General features: G+C 36.8%; 1 protein-coding gene across 6 annotated transcripts in view; it reads right to left on the bottom strand.

Annotated features, from left to right (window-relative positions):
• Positions 1-24,518, bottom strand: part of HDAC9 (histone deacetylase 9) — a 915,592-nt gene that overhangs the window by 195,810 nt on the left and 695,264 nt on the right. For all 6 annotated transcript variants that reach the window (NM_001321868.2, NM_178425.4, NM_001321877.2 and 3 more), the window contains one exon: positions 13,155-13,262. In NM_001321868.2, the coding sequence (NP_001308797.1) occupies positions 13,155-13,262 (108 nt within the window). The remainder of the gene's footprint in view (positions 1-13,154; positions 13,263-24,518) is intronic.

Below are 24,518 nucleotides of genomic sequence, written 5' to 3'. Positions count from 1 at the left end.
ATCATAATTACATGCATCCTTAAAAGCATAGAGCCTTTTCCAACCGTGGTCACAGAGAGACATAATGACAGAAAGGGTTAGAAAAATGACAACATGAGGATTCCATGCCATATTGTTGGCTCTGAGATGTAGAGGTACAAAGAATGGGGAGAGTACTCTAGGAGCTAAGGGCAGCCTGCAGCTGACAGCTAGCAAGAAAATGGAGACCCAAGTCTCACGACCACAAGGAAAGGAATTCTGCCATCCCCTGAATAAGGAAGGAATGTAGTCCTGCTGACATCTTGATTTGGCCCATTGAGTCCTGTCAAAAGACTTCCAGGACTGAAAAGAATAAATTTGCATTGTTTTAAGCCACCAAATTTGGGGTAATTTGTTATAGCAGCAATAGAAAGTTAATAATGCACTGATATATTGAATGGGGTGAAATGGAAGTGGGATTATTCTTCTCCAAGCCCTAGTCTTTCTTTAGTTTTTATCTGATGTATTCCACAGCTTTTCAGTTACTTTTACTATAGAAATAGTCTCATTTTTAGATGTTAAAAAGTCCAGTTCAGCCTCATTGAAAACCTTAATGTCACATTTTGTTTGAAGCTTCCCCAACTCCTCAGCTGACCCACAGGATCAGGGACCAGCAGTGGGCAAATGTGATGTGTACATCTCTGTGTGTTGGGGAGAGGAGGCTATATAATTTATAGTTTATATTTTTTCCTTCTTACTCCACTTCCTTCCTGCTTACTTTACAGATCCTACAGCTCTGGAGACTGGGAAGAAGGAAAAATCATAAAGACTGGATTAGCAATGCAAGTTGGTGATCTCTCTGGGTTCTTCAAAGGCCTTCAGTCACAGCAGACATCCAAACACTGTTCCTTATGAATGGGAACACTCTCAGGTCCACTGTCAGTGACCTGTATCTGCTAAGTTCACTGAGATGCGTCATGCACTCACTGGCTGACCTTGCAGGCCTTCATCAGCTCTTTCACATGCCTCCAGTCTCATTCTACTGGTGGCTTTTCCCTTGCAGGCAACCATTGTTGGTGAAATCCTTTCATGATTAAAATTGGCTTCTGCGCAGTGTCCACTGGCCCGCAGGGGGAAAAATCCTTGCCCCACCAACAGTTTTTGCATCTGTGCAGCTGCTGACTTCTCTCTCTTGGACCTATCCACATGGGCACGTTCAGCCAGCTCTCCACTTATCTCTTCTCCAGGTGACAAGCCTGAGTATTCCTCGATCTTTACATAAGCTCTCAAACTCCTGACACATTTATCAGGCCTTCTAGTGAACGTCCTACCCCACTCTGGTAACAGTCTAAAGTGAACCTACAAATTCCTATAGCTCAACATGCAACAAGTTAAAGACTGAAAAGCTACTCCTCCTGTTTGTGGACATGAGTGATTTCCTTACTGTCCTTCCCCTTCTCTTGCACATTTAGTTTAAGTGGGACCAAAGCTTAGGAAGGGGACTGAGCAGGATAGTCAGAATACTTAAATTCCTTTTAAGAATCTTCCACTGGGCCAGGCGCAGGGGCTCATGCCTGTAATCCCAGCACTTCGGGAGGCCGAGGCAGGCAGATCTTTTTGAGCTCAGGAGTTCAAGACCAGCCTGGGCAACGTGGCAAAACACCATCTCTTCAAAGAATACAAAAAATTAGCCAGGCGTGATGGCAGGCACCTGTAGTCCCAGCTACTCAGGGGGCTGAGGCTGGAGAATCACTTAAGCCTGGGAAGCAGAGGTTGCAGTGAGCAGAGATTACGCCCCTGCACACCAGCCTGGGTGACAGAGTGAGACCATGTCTCAATAAAAAAGAAAAGAAAAGAATCTTCCATCAATCACATCTATGTTCTCTAGTCTTTTGTAATGTGAACTGGATTAGGTAAGATAATTGCAGTCTTCTTTGGCTGTTTTAAGGAATTCACTGAAGCAGTATATAGTATGCATGGTAAATATCCATTGTCCACAGTTTAGGATTTGGTCATAATTGGAGTCAACACAGGTATTTCAATGCATACCTTACTTGTTGAACCATTTTAGGGTAGACAGCAATATAACATTTTAAGAAAGGCCAAATGTGTGGCAAAATGTATATGAAATGCAATGCAGCTTTCCTTATTCACAATCAGCACTTACCACCGTTGCTATCCTTATGCCCTATTAGAAATAGACCCTTCATTTTTAATATTATTTACGTATGCATACGTGTGTATGAACCACAGCGTGTTTGTGTGTATGTGTGAGGGTGGACGTGTACATGCATCCCATCATGTAGCACTTGACTATCTCTCTAACCTCATCTCACTTTCAGACGCTCAGGCCTTGAAGTTTCTTAAACATGTCAAGACCTGCTTATTTGCCCCACCCTGAGAGAGCTTCTGTATTTGCTTTTTTCCTGTGTGGAATATTCTTTCCCCACATATCTACATAATGCTTCCCTTAATTCACTCAGCACAAATCTCTCCTTATCAGTAAAGCTTTCTGATAAGCTAACAGAGCTAGCCTTCTTGCTCAGCCTTCCTCTAGCTCTCTTTCATCCTTTACTTTTATCCATAACACATTTTCACATGAACTTGTATCATATGTCCATTTGTTTATCTCTTTATCATTGCTCTTCAGCAGGAAACCTAATTTCCCTGTCTGGATCACCACAGTATTTTCAGTATTTAAAGTAGTTTCTGGCATATGATAGGTACTTGAAACATGTTTTTTTTAAATAAATTAATCATTGATTATTGAAATCAGCAAGGTTGCTTGCAGTCTATTGCAAGGGATATATCACAAAATATCACTGACTGGCTGCATTAAATTTTGATTTTCCTAATACGTATATATTTTAAACAACTTGACTGAGTAAAATCCACTAAAAATACATGGCAAGCAAGACACAGTATAACAAATCCAAAAAGAAGACATTAAAAGAAATCCAAGAGAAAAAAAATAGAAAATCTACAAGAAATGATCATCAGACTATCAGCTGATTTTTCCTCATCAAAATTGGAAGCCAGAAAAGCACAGAAGATATTTAAAGTGCTGAGAGAAACTATCAACTTTGAACTGTGTACTTAGCAAAGCTGTCTTTCAAGAATGAGGGTAAAAGACATCATAGATAAATAAAAACTGAGAAACCGTCAGTAAGGAAAATCCGAAAAAATGTCCTGGAAGAAAGAAAACAATCCCAGAACAGAGGTTTCAGATACAATCATAAATGGTGATAAGAAAAATGGTAAATAGCGAGCAAGTATAGAGAAACACTGATGGTTAAAACAGTACAATCATACCTCGTCAGTGCTACTAGTCTTTTATAAATACAACTAAAGTCCTAAGCATGTAAGTTAGGACATGACTATTGCTTTAAAATAGAAAGAAAACATAAAGTTCTTGTATTGTTGGTGGGAAAAAAAAGATAGTGAAGTTTAGGATGTGTTATAAGTAGGTTAAATTTTTAAAGGTAGTTACTAAAATAATAGAAAAAAAGTGTGCATTTTCTGAAAAAAGAGGTCACATAGAGAAAAAATAAACTAATTTAATTAAAAATAAAGCAAGGGGCGGGTGAAAGTAAGGGGACAAACCAATAATGGAACAAAAAGAAAAAACAAAATAAGATGATAGAGATATGTTTCAGTATATTATAAATCATAACACATATAAGTGAATTGAACTCCCCAATTAAAATACACAGTCATATTAGAAAACAAATCCAGGAATGCTGTTTATAGGAGATAGACCTAGTATGTAATAAAGAGAAAGTCTGAAAGTAAAGGAATGGTAAATGATAAGCCAGGAAAATACTAGAAAAGAAAAAAAGCTGTTTTTGCTATATTAATATCATAAATATAATTGAGGATAAAAATATTTACTTAAGATAATTATTAAATATTAATAAAGGATTTATAAGCATATAATAGTCTTAATTTTACTGTACCTAATAACAGAGTTTTTAAATATCTAAAGCAAAAATTAACAGTTCCATAAAGATAAAAAAATCTATCATGATATGTGGAAACTTCAACACCACATTTTTAAATAGCCATTATAGAATCTTGCAAAAATCCTGCAGCCAAATATGGACTATTTTAACAAAATAATTAATAAGCTTGTGCTAATGGACATATAAAATATTACACTCAATAATATGTGGATGCCGATTCTATTTAAGCACACAAAGAACATTTTACAAATAGCAAGAACACTTGTCAATAAAGCGGGTCTCATAAACTTCCAGGAACTAGTATGATACAGATCAAATTTTATGAATGTCTTATATTTAAATTGAGTCAATAACAAAAATTGTGACTAAAACACTCATACGTTTGGAAATTTAAAAATACACATTTAATACACTAATGGCTCAAAAAAGGAGATAATGGAAATAAGACATTTTAAAAACTAAACTCTTGAGAATTCTTTATAGAAAACAGCATGTAACTCAAATAGTACTTAAAGAAAAATTTATAGCTCTAATAAGTAGAAAAGACTACAGGTTGTAAAATAATGAGCTAAATAATTTAAGAAATTATTAAAAGAAATATATGACCTCCCCCCAAATAAAATAAATAATAAAAATAGAAGAAATTCATAAAATATATGACATCTACAAAGGCCAAAGTTTGCTCTACAGGAATTAGAGAATTGTCAAACTTCTGACAGAGTTGATCAAGAAAAAGAGGAAAAATAAGCGGTATGATAATGAAAAAGATATATTGCTAAAGCTCCTGCAAACATTGAAGTGTTAAAAGAGGATATTATGAACGGATTCATATGACTAATTTTGAAAATTTGGCTCCAATATGTAAATGTCAAGAAAAAATACAACACTCCTAAATTGACTCAAAAAGAAATACAAATTCCAAATAGTTTCATAATAATGAAAGAATTTGAATCAGTAGTTACAAATCTTCCTAAATAACAAGGCTCTGTGACTTTAGAGGAAAGTTTTACCAAACGTTGAGAAAACAAATTTCCCAATTTTTACCGAACTATTACTCTAAAGTAGAGAAATATAGAGACAGTCTCATATTCACTTTATGAAGCCCTGATGCACTAGATTGATGGGTCTTTATAAGAATTACAGACCAATTTCAGTAATTAACTTATATGCAAAAATTCCAACCAAAATATTATTAGCAAACCAAATGTGGAAATGCATAACAATGATAATAAATCATAACCAAGGTAGATGTATCTCAAGAATACAAAAATTTTTAATATTTAATTAATATAACTTATCACATTAAGAAATTAAATAGAATTCACTTCATAATACCAATAGCCACCTATAAAACATTTCATACAATGTAAAATTCTCTCACAGGAGAAAGAAAATTCTTAGAAAAGTAGAAATGAAAGGTAATTTCTTCCACAAAATATAAAATATTTACAATAGCCTGTAGTAAACATAATATTTAATGGTGAAACAGATAATCTAGAAAGACACAAGAATACTCACCATGTTCAATTGTCTTCAGCATTATATCAGAGATTTTAGCCCATGTAATAAGGAAATACAAATTTTAAAATGGCATAATTATTGGAAAAAAAGAAATAAAACTGTCATTATTTGCAGATGATATCAGAAAGAAACCCCAAATGACTTATAAATTGTTACTAGTTTTGCAATAATAATGATGTACAATTAGCAAAAAATAAACAGCCCCTTTGTACATCAGAACAGAGAATGTAATTGTAATAAGATGCCACTAAAATTCTTTTCAAAAACACAAATTACCTACATATATATATTTTTTGTCTTTGGAGAAATTATTATTATTATTATTATTATTTTGAAACAAGGCCTCGCTCTGTCTTCCAGGCTGGAATGAGACAGCACGATCTTGGCTCACTGCAGCTTTGACTTCCCGGGCTCAAGCAATCCTCCCATCTCAGCATCCTGAGTAGCTGGGACAACAGGTACATGCCACCCCACCTGGCTAATTTTTGTATTTTTTGTAGAGACAGGGTTTTGCCATATTGTCCAGGCAGGTCTCAAACTCCTGAGCTCAAGTAATCCACCCACTTCAGCCTCCTTAAGTGCTGGGATTACAGGCATGCACCGCCATCCCTTGCCCAAGAAGAAATTATAAAACTTGATTAAGAAACTTCAAAGAAAGTATAAATAAATGTAAACATATGCTCAGAAACAAATAGACTCAATCATCTAAAAATGTTAATTATTGTCAAACTCATCTGTAGATTCAATGCAAAAAAACCTCTCATGGAATGTTTCATGCAAAATGACACGGTGAGTTTAAACTATACATTTAAGAACAAAGAAAATGTCAAGATCTAGTGAGGAAGAATAAGAAAGTGAAAAAATTTTTCCTATCAGATAGTCAAGACCTCTTATAAAGTTGAAGTAATGAGTAGTATGTGGTACTGATTCAGAGATAGGTGAATGGACTAATGGGGTAAAACAGAGCATGTATTAAATTCACCATCATTTTTGAAGGACAGATTTGTTGGACATAGAATACTTGGTGATGGTCTTTTTCTTTCAGCACTTTGATGATGTCATCCCACTGCCTTCTGGCCTACATAGTTTATGATGAGACCTAAGTTGTTGATTTTATTGAGGATTTTTGGAGGTGATGAGTTGCTTCTCTTTTGCTGTTTTTAAGATTTTTTTCTCATCATTGGATTTCAATGGTTTCATTATGGTGCGTCTAGGTATGGATCTCTGAGTTTATCCTAGTTGGAGCACTGAGCTTCATGAATATGTTGATTAATGTTTTTATTGAATTTGGGAAATATTCAGCCGTAATTTCTTCAAATATTCTTTCTTCCCCTTTCTCTTTTCTTCTCTGAAACTTATTATGCATATGTTGGTACATTTGATCATGTCCTACAGACCTTTGAAACTCTGTTCATTTTTCTTCATTCTCTTTTCTTCCTGGTCTTCAGACTAGATATCTTCAGGTTTGCTGACATTTTCATCTGCCTGCTCACATTTCTACTAAGCCCTTCTAGTAAATTTTTCATTTAAGTTATCGTGTTTTTCAAATCCAGAATTTTCCTTGGTTCTTTTATTTTAACAATGTCTGTGTCTTTATTAGTATTCTGTTTATAGAGTCATACATCCTCATACAATCTTTAGACATGGCTTAACTTACTTCTTTAAATTATTAAAAATATCTAGCTTAGTTTTTGTCTAGTAAGTCTGATAACTGAGCTAACTCAGGGACAGTTATTATTGACTGATTTGTTTTTCCTCTGTGTGGGGCATTCTTTCTTGTTTCTTTGCTTGTCTCAAACATTTCTGTGGAAAACTGGACATTTTAAACAAAACAGTATGGTAAAACTAGAAGTCATATTCTCACCTCTTTCCAGGATTTGTTGTTGTTCCTTTTTGTTATCGTCATTTTCTTAGTGACTTTTGTGAAATCGTTGTGTAAAATCTGTGTTCTATGTTTTATATGCTACTGAAGTCTTTGCATTGTTAGCTTAGTGGTCAGTCAATGATTGGATAAATATATTTCTTTTAATGCTTAAAACCAGCACTCCCCCAGCCTTTGCCGAGGGGCTCTGTGTGTGTGTGTGTGTGTGTGTGTGTGTGTGTGTGTGTGTGTGTGTGTGTGTGTCTTAGGGCACATTTTAAATATTTAGCCAGGCAGCTGACAACTCTACCCGGACCTTCACTTCCTGTTTGAACAGAGCCTCAAAATCAGTTTGACATAAGAGCTTAGGGCCTTTTCAGGTCTTTCCTGAGTAGGAACACAAATCTGAGTATGCATATAGCCCTATCATACATGTGGCTTTCTAGATTCTTAGGAATCTGATGGGGCTTTTCATAGTCCTTATGCACATTCCTCAGGTTTTCTTTGATGCTTTTGGCTAACCTACTGTTTGCCCCATTGTTATCCACCACCTCAAGCAGCCATAAAGTTGAGTGATCGCCACTAATTTTTCACAACAAATACTTCTAAGAAAAAGGCTTTCACACTGTGTGAAAACCTCATGAAGCCAAATAAAGCCTTGCAAGTAAGTTATGCAGGGAAGCACTGGACAGGTCAAATAATGACAATTCTCTAGGATTGAGGCTTTGAAGGAGTTCCAATTCCATTATCCACTCCCTTATCTCCCCATCAGAGGTTGGCAAGTTACTAGTTTATGCTAAGAATGCAGGCTGTGATTTGGTAAGGCTACCATGGACCTAGAAAGGGGAAGATGGAAATACGATGAGTTAAAACACCACAAATCTCTCTGTTCTCACCAAAATTCAGCTGGTTTGTTTTTTGAAACATGCTTCCTGAGTTGTTGGAAGACTTTGATTACTTTCCTGAGTTTTGAAAAATTTCATCCTGACACATTTTGCCTGTTTTATCATTGTTTTTATGGAGAAAAGAATTTTTGAACTCTTAGACTGACACTTTGCTGATGTCATTGTGGTAAAATGACTTTGGAATTCCACTTGGCATTACCTCCTGAAATTTACTGTGAAAGTAGCCTAGGAGCGGACTGTTTTACTCTTTGTTATACTCTAGTGAAAGAGCAGCCATGTTCAAGGGTGTTCATATAGCATTATTCAAAAAAGCAAAAACCTGGAAACAACAACAATGTCTTGCAGAAGAATAAAAATATAAATTATGGTGCAAAGGGAATATTTTATAGCAATGAAAATGAATTAATCATTCATATATATATATATATATCTCCACATGGATAAATCCTCATAATATACCTTTTAGGGGAAATATGCTGAAGAAGAATATATTCGATAAGGTTCCATTTTTATAAAGCAAAAAGCATGTTTAAAGCTATTAACAAGACGAAAGGAATTTTTTTTTTTTTCTGAGATGGAGTCTTACTCTGCCACCCAGGCTGGAGTACAGCAGTGCAATCTCGGCTCACTGTAACCCCTGCCTCCTGGGTTCAAGCGATTCTCATGTCTCAGCCTCCCACATAGCTGGGATTACAGGCGCCTGCCAACACACCTGGCTAATTTTTTGTATTTTTAGTGAGCACGGGGTTTTGCCACGTTGGCCAGGCTGGTCTTGAACACCAGACCTCAAGTCATCCACCCGCCTCAGCCTCCCAAAGTGCTGGGATTACAGGCATGAACCACTGCGCAGGGCCATAATTTAAAAAAATATAATAGATTAATGACTATCTGGTTTTAAAATATAGGAATGAGATAAGTACTGAGAGAATTTTAATATTGTGAGCAAAGTTCAATTCTTAAATTGGATGAGGAGTTCGTGGGTATTTATTTTATTATTATATTTTGTTAGGTAAGAATGTAACTTCTTGTCTTTTTGTATGTCTCAAATGTTTTATAATAATAAAAAAGATAAAATTTTGCTTACTTAAAATAGATAGTTTTAGCCCCTTTTTTAAATGTATATTTGTGCTATCTGTAAAAGAATGTCCTGATAGAGTGGTTGAAAGAAAACAGAGGATTATCAGATTTACATATTTTATTATTTATTAACCTATCTGCAGGATCTTAAAAGGTTACTTAATGTCTTTGAGCCAGTATCCTGTACTTACTTCAAGGGTACATTGTGAGAATAATAGTAAATTACATATAAACTGGCTGCCTATAGAAGGCACTCAATGAGTAGCAGTTATTATTAGCAACATGACATCATAATACACACTCAAACTCATATTCATTCAGTATATGCTCAAATTCATCCATCACTCAGATAACCAGGTGTTTAGGATTTTTTTTGTTTTTGTTTGTTTTGATAAATATGTCCAGAAGCTAAAAGCAACTTTGACTATTTTATGAAGACATGGTAGCATTGTCAAAAGAACACCAAAGTGAATCTTTATATTAAACTTCAATAAGTATCAATCCTTTTTTATTTATGATTACAAAATGTTCACCTTTTAGAGCTATTTCTATGTCTTTGACATACTTTCTAAAATGTCCTATAAAACAATAAAACCATTTTGAGATAATTATTCTTCCAATTATGATTTCCAATACACCAAACATGCCAACAATTTCAGAATATTTTTGTTCCTTTGTAAGAGAATCTGAGAAATAGCCAATTTGAATACCTGTAAATTTGAGGAATTCCTTCTTATGTATTTTTAAAAATGTATTGTTTAAAAACTTGGAAAGTCTGAAAGTCCCCATGATTTTCACTGAGCTCCACTGAGCAGGTCTATGCTGTGCCAAAAAATATACCAATTTGCTGATATAGTTTGCTGCACATGTTCTATTTAAGCATTAACAGGAAACCCACCCCCTGTGCCTGGTTCATTCTTCTAATTCCTTCAGCTCATCAATATCCCCTGGGGGAAGAAAGGAAAGGACCTATCAAAAGTTAGGAGGTTAGCCATGGTCAAGTTCAGCATCAAACAAAATTTCCAAGTCATACAATTTTTTCTGGCATTTTCTTTTTTTGTGCACATTTCTTATCTTTTAGGTCCTCATCCTCTGTGATCTCAGAGACCTCCTCTAGCTAGCTCTCATCTCTTATTTCCACACTATATCCAGGCACATCATATTTCAAATAAAGCTCTTAATTTTACTCTATTTTCCAAGAAAAATTAGTGCAATCTCATACGATGTGGTATCGTAACATGCCAATTTTATTTAATTAAATGTTGATTTACTGGGAGAATGGGATAGAATATGTGAGAACTGAATGTAGATGCAGAAAAATGAATAACAAAATGCTCAAGTCTTTTCTTTTCACATTTCTTATTACTTACCAGTGTCCTTGAATAAGCTTCCCTATTTTCTTCCAAGTTCTGAATGAATCGAATCCACAAACCATGAGTAATAATGCTCCTGGCCTGCAGGTATATCAGCCCCATCATATTTGAGTCTGGGACACGTAGGCACTGGGTAGTTTTTGTGGTTGTTGAATAGCGGTCCACAAACATGGCTGTCTACCTCAGTTACACATGTTCTTTACTATGGCTCCAAATCATTTGTGAGTTCTACTTTTCCCCCATGGCATCTCTGTAGCCTTACCCAAATTATTAGCAACCCAGGGCTTCAGTCTCTTGACCTGTCAGCATAGTACCAGTGCCTCTGTTATGATTCTGCCTATCTTGGACTTTTACAATGGACTTGGCAATCAGAAAGATAACCCAGCTGCACAATCTGGAATGTTCATCAAAGCAAACTGAAATTTCAGAATATCTACCGCTTGGGATGCCATAGTGTTATAATTGAGATTCATATCCACTTTTCATTTGCAAATAGCTCAAAATGCCAGTGCCATGGATGACCTTCAATATTATCAATTCCACCTAGATGATTGTGCAGAACCAGAAATTGAGCCCCAGAAAAGTTACAGATTTGCCACAAATGACACACTATGCAAGTGGTGGAACCTGGACTAAGATTTCTTGATTCTTAGGCTGGCTTTTCTTTTTTTTTTTTTTTTTTTTTTTTTTTTACTGTTTTCTTTTCTTTTTAAACCATGCCTGCTGATTCCTTAACCAGAGGAAGGGAAGAAATTTGTACCAATCGTTGTTCTCAATATAAATACCTGATGTTACTACAGCTGGTGGTCAGCATGCCCATACTATGTGTTGTTGACACATTGTTTGGAACTGGCTATTTTAAATGGATAACTTCTAAACATGGAATTATGTTTTTATTCAACTATCTTCGTGCATATATTTGGCAATTCTGCACACAGTGAAGCTAATAATGATGCTTCTGATGACTGAAACACGTGGGCATTCTACTTGAGAAGGTTTCTGAATTATTGCTTAAACTTACACAAACTTAAAACAATTAGAAATTGTGAAAGCTAACATAATAATTATCTTTGTTATCAAAGAGCTGTGCCAGCATAATCTTTAAAATTATAATATTGTGGCCTGGCTGATTTCTGCCATTTGGATTCTTTTTAAAATAAGATGTTCAAATTTTATTTTAAAGTGTTAATTTATTGCAGTGGTGCAAGTACAACACAAGCACTCAAATAGGAAGAATTTTTCCTCAAGTTCTACTGGGAGATAGCCAAAACCTCTCCACAGGCTGATTCCTTTCCTCTTTTTATTTGCTCATTTTCAAAGGTAAAGACTGAAGAGTAAGCACCACATTAATGACCCCATATATCCCCTGAGATGAGCAATGTCCTAATACTACTTATGTCAAATATATACAGGCACATCTACTTTTTAAATAGAGCTCACCCTATCAAAATTATATTTCCGTAGGCTCTGACTCTTTAAAGAGTTAAGAGTAAAGACTTCTTGGACAAACGTTGCATTGTGAAGTGCACATTCCTACTCCACATTTTTAATCACAACTGGAAGAGTCCCATGTAATTGAATAAAAATTCACTAGACATAAAGAAAAGTAATCCTAATTACATTTTATCTTGGTTTCACAAAACTCACAGTGCATATGTTATTGGTCATAATATATTTCCCTAAGCCCCGCAATTGCTAAAAATACCGAATCAATCACGACCCAGATTGCGTCATGAAGTGTGTGAACTAGTGCATTAAAAGGCCGTGTTAGCACCAACAAAGTTTATTGGGGTAACTGCATTCAAGACGCACATGGCGTACCTTTAAATAGCACTGTTAAAATACCAAATAAAATGTCAACGTCTGTCAGGTCTCTAGCTTTTATAAATTGTTTAGACTGGGAAACGCTGGGGTTTGGACATTGTTCTTTTCATACGATGTAGAAAAGAAGAGACCATAAAAAGAAAAGAACAATAAAGCATAGCTCATTTTTTAAGTTCTTTCATGGAAAAACACACTCTGGATCATTACCCTTCTAATCAACAATTTCCTTCCTCCTCCCAATCCTTCCCGTCTGGTATTTACCTTTCTCTGCCTCCCTCTCTCTGGGTGGTATTCTGAGCTTATACACACTTCTCAGTAATCATATTTTTAAAATTGCCTCAAAAGAGAATCTCAGGATGGCATGACAGACATGTATATACTAAAGGTATTTTTTACCTGAACCATAGCTTTGCTTATTATCTCTGTGCTCTTACATGCACACCGGTGGGCCCTGACTGCAGAGTGTTCTCAGGCAGAAGAAGGCCCTGAGAGCAGGATGAGCTGCTCCCTGCCTACAGATGAGTTATTATCACACCTTAGTGGCCATCTCTACCCTCTTCCTTCTGCCCTTCCTTTTATTACCACGCCACACTCCCCGCAATTCCCACATAACAACATCTCTGTTTCAGTTTCTTCTCTGGATTTCCCACACTTAATGCAACCCGGACCTCACCTTCAGCTCTCCTGAGGCCACTTTGGAAGCCAGCTCGATGACACAGCCAACAGCCATGCGTGCAGCACCGGACGAGTGTAGCTCATTCCAAATGGTGTCACTGTCCACCTGAGCAAACAGTCAGCAGAGTCCGAAGACAGAAGAAGAAAGCGAAAGAGAAGGAAGAGATGAAAGGGGTAAAAGGGGAAGAGGTCGCAGGGGAAGAGGGACAGAGAGAGAAAGCAAATCTGTGAGGAAGGGCTGGCAGGGTAACAGCCTATGTACAATAACATTAGTCTTCCGTCTTGGCCAGCTGAAAAGGCCTTCTGGACATGGCTTTGCTTATACTTTTTCTCTACACTGACTTCTCCAATGGAAACACATTCCTGCCATGCCTCACTGCCATTCCCTGTTTAGATTTCTCATTACAAACAGCATTACATAGGCCGGATCTGGCTTAGTTACAGGCCTGCTAGAAACCAGGCCCCAGTAGTAGATAGAGTAAAAACTAAGAGCACTTAGTTATACATAAAAATCGGATTTGCAAGTGCTAGAGGGGGAAAATTCAAATACCTTTCTGACTGCAGGTTTACAGGGAGCCAAACACAATTATTAGGCAGGTAGCAGCAGCAGTCAGGGAGTAGAAAGTAGCAACCACAAGTCAGGTTCTCCAACTAAATGGAAGGAGTGTGTGGTCCTCACACTTAAAACAATAACAGCAAATTGCAAGGAGAAATGTGATGTTCAAAGTATAAGCTTAAGATTTCTAACTTTCAGTATAATTTGTCAGATTGTTTCAGTTCAAACTGGTATTGTTAAAATTGGATAAGCCAGTAAAATAGATGGTTGCTTATCTACTAGAGAACATTATTATCAAAACAAAGCATGTACCAATATTCTGGATTTCCCTTTATAAAATGCTGTTTACCCTTTTTCATGAATGCAATGAAAACACATAATAATGCATACATGAAAAGAGCAACAATGGTGGTTTATAATTATCATATGTTATATTTTTAATATATAAAATACTTCATAACATAAAAAAACAGTACCAGATGGTAGAAGTCTCTAATTTTAGGACACATAAGTTATTTGAAGCACCAGGAAATAGAATACAAAGTTTGTGACTGTAAATAGCAAGACTTCCCAAATGGATCAAAGGGGAGAAATTCTGCATAAAACAAAGCTTTTTTTTTTTTTTTTAAAAAAAAAAGAGAATTAAATGCAAGGGGCCTAATCACATGGAACAAATACAATAAATAATAACAACACACATTCACAGTGAACTAAGTAGTTTTCTAAGAATATTCACATGCCTTTTTCTCATGAGGTTCTTACACACTTAAATACTACCAAGAACAATGAATACAAAAATAATAAATGAGAACAGTAAATAAGTGCATACATAATAAAAGAAAATCAAGATCCTATAAACAGCAGTATAGTAGTGAAGTTTCTGGAATCAAACTGGTGGGGTAAAATCATGGCTTCATCATTAAAACCTGAGTGACATTGGAGAATTAATTAATTAATGGCTCTGTGCCTTGGTTCCTTTATCTGTGAAAATACCAACTTTTTAAAGTACCATCTGCATACGATTTTAGTGAGGATTAAATGACTAAGTGGTAAACAAAAGCTAGCTACTACCATTTCAGCTACTGTTATACCTGTTTTGTAAAGCCTGGCACATAGTAGAGGCCTACGTGTTGATTGAATGAGTACACTGTGGCTTAGAAAGGCTGTTCTGAAGACCACGGGACTCTCACACAGAACTCTGACCCTGTCAGCACATGCCTTTCCATCACCCTCCTGAAGAAACCCGTGCTTTCTAGGAGCCAGCATCCCCTATCATAGTCGATACCATCATGGTCTGCACTGTCAGCTAAAGAGTGAAGGAATCATTGAAATGGACACTGAGACCTAATCATTTGCCCTCTAAATTGAAGGTTTTATTATTTTACTGAACCAATATAAATAAGTAGTTGTTTAAGCTTTGTGTAGCTATATTCTTAAGGAAGATGACTGCACAAGTTGAAAAATAAAAACCATTATTTACCATGTATTATATAGGTTTTAGTCAGTTTTCCCACCACTACAGAGCTACTAGTACCAAAGAAAAGCCTGCATTAATCAGAATTTAAGTTACTGGGGAAGCAAGCAAAAAAATAAAATAAATAAATTCCAAAAGATGTATTCGGTGACTCAAGAACCATGTAAAATTCCTAAGCCCTTTTTACTCAACTTTGGAGTACATCATAAGCTTTGTTTCTTTCTTTATTTCTTAAAGCAGTGGCAAATTTCCTTCCAAAAAATTATAAATACTGAACTTGATTAGAAAAACATTCCAGCAGCAGAGAGTGCTGTATCTTTGACCATACTAAAGGGCATTAGGTAGCCACAAATACGTTTGCGTGATACCCATATGCCTGTCCATACCTTTCTATCTGCCAAAGATGTTTGTGACATTAATTTTGGTGTCTAAACTTCTACTAATAATGGTAGTTTTGTTTTAATTCAGTTAACATTCATTGAGTACCTACTGTGAGTTGCCGGGTGGGGGTTACTTTTATAATAAAGCTATGTTTATTGATCATAAAGAATGTTGAGCACATAGGTATCCAGTGGATGACTGATATTTTGACTCATAACCAATGTTTAGGCTTATCCCTAAAGAAGTTCTCTTTAGGAAACTATGGGATTTATCATCCATTAATTTATTTATATTTAAACAAAAACAATATTTATCTCAATACCACCTCAACCTATGTTTTACCTACATTTAGTTTATAAATGCTTATAAACGGTAATGGTCAAGTTTTGTGGATATAATCTGTTCATAAATAGGTAATTGTACTTAATTCTGAATTTACAAACAAGTTTGTCTTTGTCCATTCAGGTTGCCATAACAAAATACCAAGGGGTAGGTAGCTTAAACAAAAGAAATTTTATTTCTCACAATTCTGGAGGCTTTGAAGTTCAAGATAAAGGTGCCAACCCATTTGGTGACTGGTGAGGACTCTCCCCTTGGCTTGCAGATGGCCACATCTGCTACATCCTCACATGCCCTTTCCTTGTACTAAAGTTCCTCTTCATGTAAGGATATCAGTCCTATTGGATTAGCACACAGTACCTTATGACCTAATTTAATCTTAATTACTTTCAAAAGGTAGTCAAATATAATCAGATTAGCGATTTGAGCTTCAGTACATAAATTTTGAGGGCACACTCTTCAGTTCATAGTAAGATTAAATCCCAAAATCTTGTTCATAAGTCAAATTACAAGCATACTTTCCTAAGGCATGATGATCCAAATGGGGTTCAGGGCCAAATTAGCTGCCAAAAGCTCCCCACATGTATTTTCCATGTTACAGTTTCATAAGAACTTCAATGATAAAACAGGATACATAACTCATGAATTATGCTATAATCTGTGTCACTAGAAGAACATCCATATCCACTTTCCAATATTCTCAATGGTAAAAATATTTTTCCTCCCTCTTTGTCCCTCTCATTGGTTGTCAATCTCTCCAACCAATTTCCCTATATTAGTGATAGCATCAAGAGGGCCACTTCCTTAAGAGAGCTCTGATTTCAACTGCTGAAGAACATCTTGACAGTAGGAAAAAACTATAGGTAAGAGAAAACAGTTGAGTTCATCAACTGATAGTGGTTCCTTGCATAGAATAAGATATTTTGGAGCTGGAGGGGAAGAAAAAAGGGAAAGAAGGATTTGCTTGGAATGCATACAGATATGCAGGATTAAGGGGCTGAAATGGCAATGCAATAATGATGAAAGTAGAGATCAGAAGGGTTTGGAACTATAAGAAGACAGGCACCCTCACATTTGGAAGTTGAAGGACAGTGGCATAAAGTTGGCTCTGGAAATGGAAAAATAATGCAAGATGTAATAGATGAGGCTGGAAAGGAAATAAATGACAGTGGAGCAGGGAGCCACCCTGAGCACAGTGGCCTACTACTAAGGTCTTGCTAAAGTTGAGAAGACATGCAAGGCAAATTCTTAAAAATAGAACTACTATATTCTGAAAAAATATGCTTTGTCATTTTTCTTTCCATGCACATAAATTCTCCTTTGTCTCTCCAACAACTTATTCTTTTTCCCAGTGAGAGAGAGAAAGGGAGAAAGAGAGAGAGAGAGAGACTGTGTGTGTGTGTGTGTGTGTGTGCGTGTATGTGTCTGCGTGTGCATTAAGGAGTAATAGTACATGAGCTGAAAGGGAGATTAGGATGGATATAGAAGAAAGGTAAAGAAAATGATGACCAAAACAGGATTTTGCTTCAATATACATAAAAATACAGATTTTGTGGTGAGAGATGATATTTTCCCAAATTCCTTTACATATCAAGAACTGAACCTGGTTGTCTCAGATCACGGTCCTGTGTTAGTGATAGCATCGAAAGAATATGATTATTTCTTCTCTGAATGATTCAGAGTAGAGACCCCTTCTACCTGTGACAACCAGGCATGCTTGTTGATTAGGGTACATATAGAATACATTGAGTGGAAGGAAAACCTAAAATCCATCTCTTCTGGTCCTGAAAGACTGCAGAAAGCTGGACTCAAGGGGTGCGGCACAAACAAGGAACACAGAAAGCGACATGTGAGCAAACGAGAGAGAAAAATGTTTCAGGTAAGTTGACAAAATGGTCGGTGAGCCTTCACTTTGGTTGATATTTGGGTCTTTTTTTTTTTTTTTTTAAACAGAGTCTCGCTCTGTCATCCAGGCTGGAGTGCAGTAGCTCGATCTTGGCTCACTGCAACCTCTGCTTCCTGGGTTCAAGCCATTCTTCCGCCTCAGCCTCCCAAGTAGATGGGATTTCAGGCATCCGCCACCACACTGAGTTAATTTTTGTATTTTTAGTAGAGATGGGGTTTCACCATGTTGGCCAGGCTAGTCTTGAACTCCTGACCTCAGGTGATCCGTCTGCCTCAGCCTCCCAAAATGCTGGGATGACAGGTGTGAACCACCGCGTTCAGCCAATATTTGGGACTTTTTGAAGTCATGTCTACACTAAACTGTGGCCACCATATAATAAAGTCTGCAGAGTGGTATGAAAAACTAATGGAAGATTAAGCTACAGCATTCCTGAGATGCTCTTGGTTCCTGTAGAGTGCAGCTGGAAGTCTCAAGTTCTCACAATCCTCCAAGGGGTATGATATGGGAGAGCCTGTGAAATGGTTTAACTATGGGTGGAGCCAAATGGAGTCCACAGAGGGGTTCAGAGGAACCCCATTACCAATGTGAGCCAAAGGGAGGCTACTGGAGCCCGGGAACCCTGCCAAGCTCCAGCTGGCAGAGAAGTCAGTAATCAGGAGTTAATCTGCTGCCGACCTCAGCTTCAACTTCAGGAAGAGTCAGGTGGTGCAGAGAGGTTGCCATGGAACCCTGAGTGTTCAGAGGACAGCAGGAGGATCCAGGTACCCCTTCAGCTCTCCATCCCTCCCTCAGGTGCCCAAATGCCATCTTCAAAGAGGAATCTGAGAGGCTAAGCAATTACCTAAAGACATTAAGTCCAATAATAAGGTGATCTTGAAAAGACAGTATTTCTAAACTGAAAGGAAGTTATTCAAACTGGAAGAGGCTGATAGATTATTAATTATGGAGAGGATCACTATAATTGGGAGAAAAAATAAATAACATATTCATCACACATCTGAGGGAGCATGGGAAATATTGTGTCCCATTTATTTCCAAGGTCAGGAATTTATTTTGCCAAATGGCAGGGATAAAAATCTAGCCAGGATTCTGGGCAGAAGTCTCTAAGGATATGCTGTACACACAGGCTAGTGAGGTTTAACTGTATTTTACAGTATGGAAATCCCTAAATATTCCTACCTTCAGATTCCTCTGGAATCTTTACCAAGCCTTGCTTTATGTACCATTCTAAAAACAGTATGCTTTTAACTTTCAAATGTTTCTAATGATGTAACTAATGTACCAAGCATGAAGGCAGCTTTAGTAGTCTGCTGAGAAATAGGTCCACAGAGGCCTTGTTTTATTGCCAGAATTAAAATCTATCAGTTTTGAAATAGGCATCCCAAAGTTCAACTCACTTTATAAATATGTAGGAGGGTCTGGACCTAACATACATCCAAAACTGGGGTTGAGAAGTGTAAGTGAAGCTATTCCACAAAAAGTCTTTCTGTGTGAGGGAACAAACACACTCGGTGAGATTGAGTAGAACCCCACTTTAGGGTGAGAGTCACAGGAGCTTGGCCCATAAGAAAGATTTAGTCATCAGAGGAGGAGGCACAATCTGAAGTAGTACAGAATCTCTCATTGAGATTCTCTCCCAACCCACACTCCCAGAGTCCTGTCTATCTAATAGGGTAGAAAGGGGTTGAGAAACACAGGAGATTATAAGTAACTAAAATAGGCAAAACATTTTAAACCCTCTAAAAACATGAGAATTACGTAGAACACTTTGGTATCAATTTGAAAAATTATGACCTTAAAAGAGGGAAGGAAGCACATTTTCTGTTTCTCTATAAACCTCATAGAATCCTGAGCACTTGGCAATGTAAAGACCCCAGAATATCGGTAATGTGCATCAGCAGGGGCCAGCAGTACTCACTGGGAACAAAGAAAGAAAAGAGAAGGAAGGAAGGAAGGAATGAAGGAAGGAAGGAATGAAGGAAGGAAGGAAGGAAGGAAAGAAAGAAAGAAAGAAAAGAAAGAAAGAGAGAAAAAAGAAAAGGAAGGAAAGAAAGCTAGACTCAAGAGGCGCATGCAACAGAAACCGAGGACACAGAAAGGGATATGTGAGCAAAAAGGAAGGAAGGGAGGAAGGGAGGAAAGAAGGAGGGAAGAAAGGAAGGAAGGAGGGAGGGAGGGAAGGAAGGAAGGAAGGAAGGAAGGAAGGAAGCCAGCCAGCCATACCCAAGAGGTGTGACAGAAACAGGGGACACAGGAAGTGTATGTGAGCAAAAAGTACATGAGAGAGAGGAAGGAAGGAAGGAAGGAAGAAAGGAAGGAAGGACGAAAGGAAGGAAGGAAAGGGCGATGGGAAAAAACATCTTGCATTCAGAAGCACATGGTACTATTCACATTAGGCATTACCTGAAGCTCCTAAAATAATTAGGAAGATACTCCTCTCTATGGAGGCATGGAGGGACTACAAGAGGATAAAGAGTTAGGGCCAGTAAAGCGCTAGTTATACATCTATTTATTAAAACTTAGCTACTACATAATGCTGTTCACATTTAAAAGAAGAATAACATGTTGCAATCTCTCTTACTAGTGGTGATCCAGAATAAGGGATAAAAAGGATGAGTGCTGAGTTAAACATAACTTAGGGAACATGAATAGCAGAAACATGATTTCGTTTACTCAGTCATAGCAGAATGCAATTCAGAAAATACATAGAGAAAGTAATAAAAAACTAAAATTTAACAGTCCATGTTTTCAGTTTTATTATATACTTCCCTACTCTATAAAGTTATTTTCTTTTTATTTAGAAATAATAATGACAATAACAATAATATTATTGTCTAGCAATTATTGAGTATTTACTAAGATCCAGGCACTGTGCAAAGCTTTTGCCCATAGTAACTAATACAATTCTTACAGCGACCATTAATGTAGATGCTATTATTAAGCAGTTTTATATATGAAATTCAGAGGTTATTCAGCTAGTAATTAGAGAAGGTAGAAAAAGAACTGAGAAAACTATGAGCTGTTAGCCCATAGTAATTTTTATGCTAGTAAAATCAAAATCCAAAAAGTAAAATAAATAATAAAATGGTATTTTAAAAAACAGATTCTAATCATATATGCATAAAGAGTTTTCTAATTAAATAAATTAGCTAAGACCTGCAAGAATGTTTTTTCTTTCACGGTATTGAAACCCTACCCTGTTAAAAGTGCTAAAATATTTTTTTTAAATCAAATGTTTCAAGTGGTACCTAGAAGAGTTGAGCTTTTCTTGAGTGTTGTGATTTGTCTGCTATTATGGTAGAGCAGTGGATCTCAATGACAGTGATTTTGCATCTAAGGGGTCATTTGGCACTTTCTGGAGACATTTTTTGTTGTCATGACTGAGTAAGGGAGGTGTGCTACTGGCTTCTAGTGCATAGAGCCAGGAATGCCACTACGCATCCTACGATGCATGGTTTTTTTTTTTGGTATACAACCAAAAATAACTTTAATCAGTGTCCTTTCCCTGAATTTGTCCAAATAATTCTGTCTACTGAACAGAATCAATGCTGTTATATATTTATTTTTAAGCATTGTTCTGCCCTTGGTTTCTTAAGTGTCACAAATGTTAGTGACAGAACCAGTAAAAACTCTTCATAGTTCTTCCCATTCCTTTGCTTCATTCTCACCTTACCACTCCTTAATACGCCAAAGGAAAGTACTGCAATTTTATCTGATGATTTCAAAAAGAAATAATTATATAATATCATTGGCAAAATAAAGGGTCAAGGAACATCATATAATTTATGAGTCTATACAAAACACACACATGCACACACAGACACACACACACACACACACACACACACACAAGCAATTGCTACCTATTAAAAGCCAAGTTTTTGAGAAACTGTTGTTCATGAGAATGTTGGGTTCATACTACACACGTGGCAGGCTGGGAGTACATGGAAAGTCTGCTGCCTTTGAGTGGCCATGATTCATTCTGTTAAGTGAAATATATGTGGGCACTGATTCTGAGTAACCCACCCTTCTAATTGTTCACTATCTTTGAAACAGATTCTGAGCAGCTGAGAGATGGGTATAACATTTCAAAACCGTTGTTTACACCATTTCTTTATTCCACTGTGAGTTAAGAACATGAATTAAATGATAAAAACCCATGACCAACTCAGGATTTTGCAAGAACATAAAGATGCTTCCTCAGTGCTCTCCTATCCAGAAGTCTCTGTGCTTCTGCAAATGTCTGGGGCAAGCACCTGGTGGCCTTCAGTTTTTTTTTTGTTTTTTGTTTTTTGTTTTGTCCTCTTATTGTTCACACTGAGAGCAATAGTAGCAACCTTCTCTTCTAAAATGCCTCCTCGGATTTGAATCAGGAATAAATTAAATGTTTACTAGGTTGTAAAAAAAAAATTCTTGAGCTAGCTTTTGGTGGTGTGTGCCTACAGACCCAGCTACTCAGAAAGCTGAGGCGGGAGGATCACTTGAGTCTAGAAATTTGAGGCCAGTCTGGGTAACAAGGTGAGACACGAAAGAAAAGAAAAGAGAAGAAAAGGAGAGGAGAGGAGAGGATTTCCTTGGTGTTAAAGGGATTAATTGTCTTATATGTATTGGAATCAAGTAGTGTCCATGAGTCCACAGACAGAGACAAAGAACCAAATAATAATAATAATAATAATACCCAGAAAGACTCGAATATAGAAGGGGTACAGATTAGGGCTAAAGAAGTAGCCACGTGTTCAAATGACACCGAAAGCCACAATGGGGACATAGACATAATGTCAGGTAACTGGGGATGAGGGACAGGTTCTCTGGTTGGAACTATGGTTGACTGGAGTGTTTGTGTCCCAGCTAAAAGGACAATGGCTACACAGTTCCAAACAATTTTTGTCTTAAGGAAATGATAGCATGGTATTTATTAGTAGCCCTAAATATTGTATTCTTAGGTGCAATTTTTCTATCTTAAATATTGACAATAATTCACTTAAAAATCCCCAGCCAAGCTAAGAGAAATCTATGTATGTGTTGAATATGGCTTCTGGCCTGGCAGTGCATAACTTCTGCTACCCAGGGTGATTTATTTTCACACAAAGTTTGAAAATTCTAAAGCGGGAAAGGCAAAAAAAAAAAAAAAAAGTCTCAGCAGAACTAGTTGAGTTGATTCCTTGTGTGGTAACCATCAAAGCTTAATTCAAGGAGGTTTCTCAGGGCAGTGCCCTGGGAGAATAGAAGTCCTCTAACTCTTACAGAGGTGTGTTACTGAAGGATTCCAGCCTCTGCCTGAGGACAAGGCCAGACATGATCTGTTGAATCTAATAAAAAATAACTGGAGTTTTTATGTTCTATGTCTTTTGTATCTCACTTTTAGTAATTTGTATTTATTGCCTCATATACAAGTATTTCTTCACAACAGATATAGGAAATGAAATGTAAGTAAACAAAACCTTGCCCCTTACCACATAATAATTTGAGAAGCATTAACTTCATAGAGAAATGCTTTTCTTTGCAAACTGTTTAAAGAAAGAGTTCTATTTGGATAAAAGGATAGAAAGAAAAGGTGAAGCCAGAAGTAAAATTAGAAATGCTTTAGGAATTTGTATTAATAAGTTACACCTATCAACATAAATTGTACCAAGAGAGAATGACTACCAATAATTTGTTTGAGTCATACACCAAAATTTGGTACCTACAGACTGGTTTAACCCCAGGATTTCGAGAAATTGTTAGGCTTTAAATATACTTTTAAACAGACATTAAAAGGAAGCAAGCTTTGGGCAAATCCTCCTCTACTTTATCCTATTCTTTTAGGTGGTAGCATTGGCAAGGACATCATTGACATTTGGTGCAATGGCACCTTATCTATTTTGTTGCCTTAGCGTTAGAGACCTCGTAAACCAGCAGTTCCACTTGCAAACTATTCAAACACGGGCAAGTTCATTCACCGATCCGTGACCTAAGAAAAATGGAATAATACTCCTTCCTCATAGGATTATTGTTAGCATTCAATCAGTCAATACATATAAAGTGCTTAACACAGCACAAGACGATGCTGGAAGCAGTAAGCTCTCAGTCAATGGTAACTAAGAAAAAAAAATCCCCGCATTTTGCTTCTAACATTACTTTCTATTTCGCAGCACATCAAAGGACAAAAATCATCTGTGATAATGCTGGAAGCCAGGAACTACCTCCAATCAGAAAGCTACATGTTTTCTAGCCACATATGGATCTAGTTCAACTGTAGTTTCCTGAGTGAATGTGGGTCTTTGCAGGCTTTTCCAAGCACATCCAGCATAGCTCAATCATTGGAATCTGAAACAAAGCTAATGCTCTGAAAAGCCGCACATGATAGAAATTAAGCTACCTGTCCTGAAAGTGGATGTGAAGGTATTTAAAACGGAAAGGGAATGACTTAAAAGAAAAGGAATTTAGGCACAGTCTCCTTTGTATAATCTAAATGCAGCCTGTTGCTTCCTGGTGGAAATATTCCCAGAGTTAAATATAATACTATTGTGCCCATTAACAAAACAGGTTTCATATGCACTGTGCATGTTTAATGTGGTACACTATCCTTCCTCAGATGCCTTGAACATTTCACCCTGAAAGTTGGGAAATGAAACTCTTCACCCAGTTCTGAGCAGTTTAGTAAGGTCTTGCTGCTATTTTATGCTGACGCTAGGGCCACAGGGCATTTTCTGAATAATTGAGTTTA

The sequence above is a fragment of the Homo sapiens genome, chromosome 7, assembly GCF_000001405.40.
Source record: "Homo sapiens chromosome 7, GRCh38.p14 Primary Assembly".
Classification (NCBI taxonomy): Eukaryota; Metazoa; Chordata; class Mammalia; order Primates; family Hominidae; genus Homo; species Homo sapiens.
Note: the sequence above shows the minus strand (reverse complement) of the source record. Positions and strands in the feature narration are given on the sequence as shown.